At 40.7% G+C, this 11,095-nt stretch overlaps 1 protein-coding gene across 1 annotated transcript in view, besides 2 other annotated features; it reads left to right on the forward strand.

The window, feature by feature from the left end:
- FAM47E-STBD1 (FAM47E-STBD1 readthrough) overlaps positions 1-11,095 on the forward strand; it is a 59,410-nt gene that overhangs the window by 42,218 nt on the left and 6,097 nt on the right. The gene's annotated exons all lie outside the window — the stretch shown is intronic.
- Positions 7,472-7,616: an enhancer, noted in NCBI's record as "145 bp enhancer 290 fragment used in the MPRA reporter construct; PK_construct_3861". NCBI's record gives its function as "activates an SV40 promoter by MPRA in HepG2 cells {active_cell/tissue: HepG2}" and the evidence as "EXISTENCE:reporter gene assay evidence [ECO:0000049][PMID:23512712]".
- Positions 7,539-7,549: a transcriptional cis regulatory region, noted in NCBI's record as "NFE2L2 motif; enhancer activity is reduced when this motif is scrambled". NCBI's record gives its function as "necessary for full MPRA enhancer 290 activity {active_cell/tissue: HepG2}" and the evidence as "EXISTENCE:site-directed mutagenesis evidence [ECO:0005528][PMID:23512712]".

Genomic DNA, 11,095 nt, shown 5'->3' on the forward strand with positions numbered 1-11,095 from the left:
AGATTAGGCTGCTGTATTTACCAGTGCTCAGCAACAAGCCAAAATCTGTTTCTCAAAAGGAGAAAAGTTACATGCCACAGAATCCGTGGCTTGGCTGCAAAACTCTCAGAGCCTGTGCTGGATGTTCCAAAGCTCCATTCAGCAGCCCTGTCTGCCACAGGCATTTCAATAACATTGGATCCACTGGATCAGAAGACAGAGCTTCCTGGACCAGTGAGAAAGCATACTCTTGCTTCAGGCTGCACTCAAAATTGGCAACCTCTCAGATTATTAAAAAAACTAGCTGAAACAGCATGTCTAAATCTGGTCTCCAAAATTCAAAGACACACCATTATAGAGTATTTCCAACACCCAGTTATAATACATATAAATAATCTGAGCAGCATAGATAATAATAAAAAGCTGTCAACTAGGAAGTGATGAGTTTGTAATTATCTTTGTTTTTCACATCATTTATTTAACTGTAAGTATATATAATTTGTTTTAATAATGGTTGTGTTTAGCAATCAGCTCACTAAATTCTTGAAAATTTGTCAGTTGACCTTTGTGAGTTGGTACAACCTGTCTCTAGCACCTTATTGACTATAGAATTCAAGGCAATGAGGGATGTTAGGAGCAAAGAATGAAGAGAATTGTTTTCCCCTACCTCCAGTAAGGTTACTCCCACAAAGAATAACATTACAGAGTCTTCATGAAAGATGGAAAAAGCCTCATCATGAAGGGAGATTTTCTCTGACGAGGAAGGCTGCATTAATTCAGGTGTGCCAAGAAGCAATGGCAAGATGGGAATAGATGTTCTTGAGCTTTACTGAAGGAAGGAATGGGAAAAGATAGAGAGAGCTTTAGACTGTGATGCCTGTCTGATATCTGTGGAAGGAATAAGGGAAGGAAAGAAGATTGGTGTAAGAAGAATCTTGGACTGTAGCACAATTCAAATAAAGGTTTCGCCAGTCCAGCAGGAAGTCCTCAAGTTGAAGTTGCCTAGAGGAGGAGTTTCACTTCTTGCCAGAATGGGACTACCTTGGTGCTTCTGGCATGCTCAGTCATTGGTTAGGGGTAGCCCATGAGAAGCATGGCCTCAGTGTGAGGGTGGAGGATCCAGGGAGGCAGCAATTTGGTCCACCAGCCAATGATGCTCTCTGCAGCAGATGATCTGAGTAGCATATTTTCATAGGGTTGGGAGTTTAGGGTACTTGGAGCCCACCGTATCTTCCCATATGTTCCCATTTCAGGATTCAGGGTCTCACTTTTTCCAAACAATGTTCTAGCTTCACATAAGGTATCCTAAAAACCTGTGAATTCAAATGATGTCTTAACTTAGCAAACTAAACAGTCAATTATCTCTCTCTCTCCCAGTTCAACAGTTTCAAGACATATTTCTTTAGAAAATTCCAAAGAGCCCCTGATTTGGGGATTTGTGTTTGTTTTAAAATATGTCCACAAATTGGCCAGGCTGGTGGCTCACACCTGTAATCCCAGCACTTTGGTGTGCCAAAGGCGGGTGGATCATGAGGTCAGGCGATCAAGACCATCCTGGCTAACACGGTGAAACTCCATCTCTACTAAAAAATACAAAAAATTAGCTGGGCATGGTGGCAGGCAACTGTAGTCCCAGCTACTCGGGAGGCTGAGGCAGGAGAATGTCCTGAACCCAGGAGGCAGAGCTTGCAGTGAGCCGAGATAACACCACTGCACTCCAGCCTGGGCGACAGAGCAAGACTCTGTTTCAAAAAAAAAAAAAAAAGTCCACAAATTATTTGATACTTTTTCAAAATGTGGTGTCTAATTCCCTCCACTCAAGTGTAGTTAGTGACTGTAGTTAGTGGGCTGTACTTAGCGACTTGCTTCTAATGAAGACAATGTGGGAAAGGTGATGATGCCTGATTTCTGAGTCCCAATCACATCAGGTGAAATTGTGGCTTCCTTCTTGTTCTCACTTGGATCATCTGCTCTGGGAGTGTCTAGCTGCCATGTTGTGAGGACACTAAAGTTGTCTATGGAGAGGCCCACATAGCAAGGAACTAAAGCCTTCTTCTAGCAGCCATGGGGCAAGCCATCTAGGAAGTGGATCCTCCAGTCCCTAGTAAGTCTTCAGATGAGACTGCAACCCCTGCTGACATCCTGACTGTAGTCTTACGGGAGGTCCTGAGCCAGAACCACAAAGTTGCTCTTGAATTCTTGAATCACAAAAACCACTATAATGTTTGTTGTTTTAAGCCATTAAGCTTAAGATTTATTTGTTAAGCAGTAATAGGTAACTAATATAGATTTTGTTACCTGGAAGTGGAGTGCTGCTATAACAAGAACCTAAAGTGTGGGAGGGAGAAGAACTGGGTAGTGGGGTGGAAGCTGGAAAATTTTGAGAAGACTGTTAGTAAAAGCTTCAAGGGCCTTAAAAACACTGTTAGTAGAAGCCTTTGAGGAGGTGACAGCTTGTAGGAAAATGAGGTAATGTTATTGGAAAGTGGGAGAAACAGTCTCCTTGTTATGAAATAGCAAAAAGTTTAGCCCACATGGAATGTAGAAAAGGCAGCTGATGAGCTGGATGATCTAACGAAGGAGATTTTCATACAGAATGTTGAAGATACTGCCTGGTTTTCATTTGCTGCTTACAGCAAAATGCAAGAAGAAATAGATAAGCTAAAGCAGGACAGCTTAAAAAGAGGAACCAGGATTTTATGGTTTCGAAATGTCTAGCCTCTTGGATAGCAGATAATGTTTAAATTAAGGAATGATATGGGGCAAAGACAAAATCCAGGACATTGCCAGGAAAACATGGTCTAAAGAAGACTCCAAGGATGTAAGGATGTAACTGTTAAATCCTTTGTTAAGACCTCAGAAAGATAAAAGGTGTTGCCTCAGCGTACTGTTCAACTAGACAAAAGGCTCCCTAAAATTTTCTTAGGTGTGCTACAGTTTCTTTTGATCAAACAAATAAAGCTTCTAAGAAGCTGAAGATGTTGTTCTTCACCAGAAGCCCATGGTAGAGAAGGGCTTATCTTGAATTGATTTGTAGATTTGGCTTTTGAAAAATGGCATGGACCCAATAAGAGTCACAGGAAATCTGTAAAGTTTTTCAAAGAATTGTATTGGAATAAAAACTGCCAGCTTGGACTAAAAGGGACAAAGACAGTATGAAATGAAAAGAGGCCTCTGGATCTCCATAGTTCTACTGGCAGAAAGCAGACTGAGAGAACTTCTCAGCTACACATATGTGCTTCCATTATAGAACAGATGACTCAGAGGACATAACCAAGAAAGTGGAAACAAAGGCCATGCAGAATTATTCCTAGTTGAACAAAGTTCTAATTGAGGACCTTCTACAATTTCCTTGGCTGCTTTACAGAATTGCCATGGAGCAGTGACTCCTGTATGCCTCTATTTTTCTCCTATTTTTGGAATATGATTGTATATGGTGATTATATTGTGTCTGTTCTACTATTATATGTTGGGTGATGTTACAGAGGGTGGGGGTGGGAGGGATAGGCATATACCTTTCTGTCTTCAGATTGAAAGGAAATGCATTAGAATAATTGTACTTAGGAAGTACATCTAAGCAGTTTCATCTGTACCTGGGCCTGATTCAGATTCTAACATTCTGGATTCCAAACTGATGCTGTAAAGGGGTTATGGGAGGATTTTGTAAGGGTGGGGCTGTGGGGGTAAGTATATTTTACATATGAAAAGAATGTAAGTAATTTGTGGCTAGAGGACAGATTGGTCTTGTCTTAAAATATGTTCACAAATTCTGTGATACTCTTTCCTTCAAAAGATGAAGCTTGATTCTGCTTTTCTTGAGTGTGGGCTGTGCTTAGTGGCTTATTTCTAAAGAATAGAATGTAGCAGAAGTAGCGATGTGTGATTCCAAAACTAGACTGTAAAAGGCATTGTGTTCCCTCTTTGCTTTCCCTGAGATCACATGCTCTGGTGCAGATTTTCTCAGCCCAGGCAATATTGATGTTTTGGATCGAATTTTTCTTATTATTCTTTGTTGTGAGGGACTGTTCTGTGCTTTGTAGAATATTTAGTATCACCTCTGGCCTCTACTCACCCAAAATTCCCAGAAGTTGAATTGCTATGTCAAAGGATATATGTACATGCAGCTACACACACACACACACACACACACACACACACACACTCACATAGTTGTTTATTCTGTCTTGTTCTTTAAGGTTTTTGGATATAGAGTGCTAAGTTGCCTCCAAAAAGGTTGAATTTTTTCCCTATTAAAATATATTGTTTATATTTGAATTTATTTTTATCATTGGTGAACATTTTTAAAAATGAACATTTAAAAATGAATTTGGTCTATTGCATTTCTTTGTGACTTAGCTCAATTTTCTCCTGGGGCATGAGCAATGGTGTGCTCACAGGGCCTGCTTTCACTGTGGGCAGAATAGGCAGTATTACACATTCTGGTTAGAAGAGGTGGGGAAGCCCTGCTTTCCCCCATCACCCTCCAAGGTAGGTGTGCAGGGTATAAAATTCTTACATTAGAAATGCATTATTTGCCCACTTTTTAATGGGATTATTAGTTCTTTTGCTGTTGAGTTACTTGTATATTTTGGATATTTGTCCCTTGTTGGATGAATAGTTTACAAATACATAATGAAATCTAAGTTGGCTATAGAATGAAATCTTGTCATTTGCAACAACATAGATGAAACTGGAGGATATTATATTACGTGAAATAAGCCAAGCACAGGAAGACAAATATTGCATGTTCTCATTCATATCTGGGAGCTAAAAAAGTTGACCTCGTGGAGGTAGAGGGCAAAATGATAGTTACCAGAGGCAGGGAAGGGTGTGTAGGGGGTGGGGGAGGAATAAAGAGAGAGGTTGGTTGGTTAATACAGACAGTTAGATAGAAGGAATTAATTGTAATATTTGACGCCAGAGTAACAAAGTACTATATATTTCAAAATACCTAGAAGAGAGGACTTGAAATGTTCCCAACACATAGAATGATGGATACTCTAAATACCCTGACTTGATCATTACACATTCTGTGCATGTAACAAATACCACATGTACCCCATAAAAATGTACAAATATGACATATCAATAAAAAAATGCATTATTTTAGTTTGTCCTCCCTCTAAACTGATTTTAAAATATCAAACAAGTTCACTGTAAGGTACTGGTGACACATCAACTTTCTTTTTGACAAATGTTCACAGATAACAATATTTACAGTTCCGTGGTTGGGTGGATGGGTGGAATCAGAAAGCAGTTAAAGAATAATACTGAGGCCAGGTGCAGTGGCTCACACCTGTAATCCCAGCACTTTGGGAGGCTGAGGCGGGCGGGTCACAAGGTCAGGAGTTTGAGACCAGCCTGACCAACATGGTGAAACCCCGTCTCTACTAAAAATACAAAAATTAGCCAGGTGTGGTGGCACATGCCTGTAATCCCAGCTACTCAGGAGGCTGAAGCAGGAGAATCACTTGAACCCAGAAGGCGGAGGTTGCAGTGAGCCGAGATTGTGCCAACCGCACTCCAGTGTGGGCAACAGAGTGAGACTTTGTCTCACAAAAAAAAAAAAAAAAAGAATAATACCAAAAAGAGGAAGAAGACAAGAAACGAGATAAAGGGACACCCCAAACTTTGCCCTCATGGTGGCTTTGCTAGATCTGTCCTGGTCTAATCTACCTCATTCTCTCCCAAGAAGATAACTGTCAATGCTTTTAAAAAAATCTCTTGGACATTTACAGCCTATATTTTGGTGGTACATGCTAGTGCTTGACCATTCTTGATATTCATTTATTCATTCACTCAATAAATACATATTTTGAGCCTCTACCGTGTAGGACACTAGGCACCCTATAGGTCACTGGGAGAAAACTATAAATTCCCTGCCCTTGTGAGCTTACAATCCAGTGAGGGAAACACACCTTTAATCAAAGAAGATAATATGGAGAGTGACATGGGCAATTAATGGGGTGCAGGGATGGAGAACAGCAGGGGGCAGGCCTGCGGAAGTGAGGGCAAGGGCCAACTTTGGTTGGGGAGGATCTCTCTGAGGAGAAATTTGGCTTACATTCTCTCTAGTAACAGTGTGCACCTGGTGGGAATTGGGAGTCTTTCACTCATGATTACAATTATTTGAATTGTATCTAATTGTGTGAGGAGCTGGAGTGCATGGCGTGGTCCGGCAGGTCTGACTGGAGGAAGCAGAGATTGCCAATGGCACCCATGGGCTCTTCCCTTTTCTGTGTGCCGGGCCCGCTGCCCCTGCCCTGGACTCTCCCTGACTCCACCCTTCAAAACTTGCCTGTTCTCCTCTTCCTTCCTCCCTCATATTTCCCTCCATTCTTCCTCACTTCCTCTTTAAGCCTGCAAGGTTTGAGTTCACCTTACTCCTTAGTCTCTTTGCTACTTACAGTGAGGCCAACAGACCAGTATCAACTGGCAGCTTGTTAGGAAAGCAGAATCCAGACCCCACCCTGGACCTCTTTGTTTATTTATTCATTCTCCTTTTATCCCAACTCCTATTCCTATACTTTTGCCCACCAAACCACTTCCTTTAATGTGTTAAGAATTGTTCCTAAATATGCATGTATCTTTGAAGCCTCAGTAGTGCTATTTTGAGTGTTTATGTATTTTCAACTTGCATAAATATTATTGTACTGTAAGTCATTGTTTCTTGCCTTTCTAGTCACCATTATGTATTTAAGATTTAATTACATTATGTCTAGATCTTGTTCATTGTTCTAACTACCGCATAGTATTTCATAGGCATCTATCGCATTTTATTTAGTTATTACCCTATGATGAACAGCCAGGGGCTTTGAACTTGCCGTTGGCCCAAGTAACACTGTATGTCCCTTATAGTCTTGTGCACATTTTTCCCTGGGCCTACATGTTGAGGAGTGGGATTGCACAGCCATTGGCTATGTGCATACTTAGCTTCACAACACTCTTCCAGAGTGTTTGTACCTGTTGGCTCTCCCAACAGCAGCACCACACAACTTCTTTCTAATATTTGTCTCTCTGATGGATGTAAAATGGCATATCATTGTTTTAATTTGCATTTTTCTGACTATCAATGAGTTTAAGCATTTTTTGTGTCTAATTTTATTCAGCCAAAAATTATTGTGCCTATTATGTTCCAGTCATTGTTCTGGGCACTGAGGAAAGAGCGTCCCTCGTCCATTTTTATATTGGATCTTGCGTCTTTTTCTTGCCAATTTGTACGAGTTCATTGTAGAGCTAGGTATTAATCTCTTATCAGTTTTAGACAACACAAATATCTTCCCCCAGTTTGGCTCTATCTGGTAACTGTTTATGGCACCCTTCATTGACCAGATAGCATCATTTTAATGAAGTCAAAATGTTTTTGGCCTCCTATGTTAGGCAATGTCACATTGCCAGTTTCCTGGATTTTGTTCTATTCATAGTTTTACCATTTACATTTAGGACTTTATTTCATCTGGAGTTCAGCATTTATGTGGTACAAAGTAGTAATCCAGCTTTATTTTTCTGTAGATAGTGAGCTAGTTGTCTAACACAGATCTCCCTTTTCTAAAGTTTTAATGACTTAGCATGACTGATGTCAGCCTTGAGTCTATTCTGGAACTAAGATGAGTCAGAGGTTTGCAAACAGTTTCAGTTAGAAAATGTCTCTGTGAAACCTGAAACTGGGCAGCTCCAATGTGACTGCTTTGCAGAGAGGTTGTACTTGTGGTTAATGTTATGTGGCTCCCCAGGAGCCAGAGGTCTGACAGCAATGGACAGGTGCTGAGGGTGATAAGTGCATTCCCCTAATGGAGAGAGGGGTTGCAGAGTTATTACAGATCAAGAACAAGTCTGAGAGTCACCACAAACACTGAAACACAACCATAAGGGTTCTCTAGTATAACACATCCAAATTTGCACACTCACTTCTAAAATCTATGCTTTGAAATTTGAACATAGTTTAAGAATCATCAGACTTCAGTGTAGCTAGGGTTTCAGAGCAGGTCCTGGGGATCAGAACACCGGGTTCAAATCCTAGCTCAGTCACTCATTAACTGTATGACCTTGACCAGATTACTTCCCTCCAAGCATTCCATTTATAAGGATGAGATAATCTTTATAAAGCACTTAGCCTGGTGCCTGCATATTTTAGTTATTCAATAAACAAAAACAATAAAAAGAAGGCCTATTAGATGATAGCCTTGACATTCCAGGGAATAGAAAGATGTCCAAGCTGTGACCAGCAAGGGATTTATGATCTAAACTAGGGATGAGACAAACCTCAAAGATACTGATACCATAAGAGAAAACCTGGTGTGATCGAAAGGATCCCATTAGGAATAACAAATCCCAAGGGTTCTACGCTCTCTGTGCCAGCAACAAAAGGACAAGACCAAATCTCTTTCTTATTATACCCCACTGTGGAGAGGCAACAGGACTATGCAGAGACACCTCTTCTACTGGCCATGTCTTCTCCCAGTGGTCATTATCTACTTTCTCTGCTTTTCTTAAAACTCCAGCCAGATTTTCTTTCTCCCACTCAGCTGATAACCTCATTGACTACTTCCTTTGTGGCACAAAATGTCTCTTATTTTCATTCTTTTCTTTTTTTCATGCCCTTCTAATCTCTTTCCTTCATTGAAGGCCAATTCTTCCACTGGCATTCCTGACCCATCTCCCTCTTGTGCCTTATGAAAGTCCAATGAAAAAATATTTCCTCTGCTTCTCATGTCTTCAAGCTCAGTCTCCACTGGCTCTTTCCTGCTCCCAATCGTGCTTAAATCTCTCTTGGTTTATAGGAACTGCCCTGAGTCCTGGTCTATTTCTTTTCTTTTTCTTTTTGGGGGGGGGGGGTTGGTGGAAGGTGGGGGGGGGGGGTCTCCCTGTGTTGCCCAGGTTGGTCTCGAACTCCTGTCCTCAAGAGATCCTCCCACCTCGGCCTCCCAAAGTGCTGGGTATCCTGTTCTATTCTTAAGCAACCCTTCAATTTCTCTCCAACCTATTGCCTCCACGTTTCTCAAGAGAGAGATAACTCAATGCTGGACTTCTTATCCTTTCACAACATTTATATCTTAGCATTCTGAAATCCAACTTCCACCCCCACAAACACTCCAGAGCTACTGATGGCCTCTTATGTGCCAATTGCAACCATTTTCCCTTCAGTTCTCTATCAACTTCAGTTCTGCAAAGCAATGCCTCCATTCCCTCTCCTGGCCACCTTCTTGAACTGCTTTTCTTATCTGATTTTGGTTCTCCTTCTTCTCTGGCTCTTCCTTCCCACAGTCTTTAGTCTCTCTGACTTTGCAAACAGAGTTGCTTTTCATTGTTCTGTCCTCATCCCTCTAAGCCAGGATTGAGCAATCTTTTCTTGCATAAGTTTAAAGGAAAAAATATATAATAAAATAAACTTTAAAATATCCATCTATATCTATTCATACTTTATTAAATAGAATAATATCAATTAGAAAACGGGTTCTACATTATGGCCCATAAAATATAATCTCAAGACAGAATTGCAATATAAATAGCAACATGGAGGCAACTTCCCAATCTTTCTTCTTGCAATTGTGTCAAGGGCTCATCCATCCTTCATTTCTCTTTATAACATTAATCTTTACTATGGATTTAATTACCACATCTCTATGCAGAATTTCCAACATCTCCAGCCTTGATCCTCTTAAACTAAAGAAACCGAGTTCCAACTTCCTGCTCGTGCCTCCAATTTAACACGTCCCAGCAGAACTCATCATCTTCCTCCTTTGTCCGCACAACCGTTCTTGCCTTTTTTGCTCCCTGACAACACTATCTTCCTAGGCACTCACAGTTTTCTATATGGAGGCAAACATGATTGTTTTGCAAGTGTATAGCGATAAGCATGGGTATCATCAGTGCGGCAAGAATGTTTTTAGGATATGTGGCTATGAACCTTTAATATAAACATATGACTATGATTGGAGCATTTTTTAAAAGAGCAGCAACACAGAAATTAATGAGCCAGCACTTAAGTTTGGAAAAGCCAAAAGGAAGGCCAAATAATGTTCTTTAAAAATGTTGCATTAGCTTCTTGGGATTCCCAAAGAAAAAAGTAAATTAAAAAAAATGTTGCATGATCAATATGATACAATGTAAAAATAATTCTGATGGGTTGAGAAAATAATTTTTGGTATTATTTTAAATAAATGAATGGACATTTATGACAGCAATAAATATTAAGAGCCTTTTAGGTATTATAAGTGAATAGTGGGGCTTACATCTGAAGGATTTTACAGATTCTCTGGGATTTTTATCCCTTAGACAGGAGTCCCCAGACCTTGGTCTGAGGCCTGTTAGGAAGCAGGCTGCACAGTAAGGAGGTGAGTGGTTGGCAAGTGAACATTACAGCCTGAGCTGCACCTCCTATCAGATCAGTAGCGGCATTAGACTCTCATAGGAGCACAAACCCTATGTGAACCGCACATGCAAGGGATCTTATATTTTTATCAGATTTTTTGAGACAGTCTCCCTCTGTCACCCAGGCTGGAGTGCAGTGGCATGATCATGGCTCACTGCAGCCTTCACCTCCCAGGCTTAAGTGATCCTCAGCCTCCTGAGTAGCTGGGACTATAGGCGCCACTGCCTTGCCCAGCTCATTTTTGTATTTTTCCATAGAGACAGGGTTTTGCTATGCTGCCCAGGCTGAAAGAATCTTATTTTATACAGTGACATTCATTCTCTTAAAAATATAGCTTTACGGTTACTTTTTATTATACATAAAATGAATTTCAAGGAACGGTAATATCCACATGGGCTAAAAATGCATATGGAATCTACGTAAGAAAAATGCCAATAATGCTCTAGGGTGAAATTACCTGGGGCTTTTAATTCATTCATTCAACCTGTACTTCTAAGCGCTCACTCCGGAGAGGTTACAGGTGCTAAGAATTCAGCAGAGAACAAAGGACAACCATCCCCGCTGTCATTTACACTCTGAAGGGAGGAAAGAGAAATTAAACCACAGACACACAGATTATAGAGTGTATTAGAAATGACGCCCTAAGTGCTAATGAGAACAATGGAGCAGGGGAAGGATATAGGGAGTAGGATTGTAATTAAAACTGGGATTGTCAAGGAAGGGCTGGGCAGGGGAGGGGGTAGT

The sequence above is a fragment of the Homo sapiens genome, chromosome 4, assembly GCF_000001405.40.
Source record: "Homo sapiens chromosome 4, GRCh38.p14 Primary Assembly".
Lineage (NCBI taxonomy): Eukaryota > Metazoa > Chordata > Mammalia > Primates > Hominidae > Homo > Homo sapiens.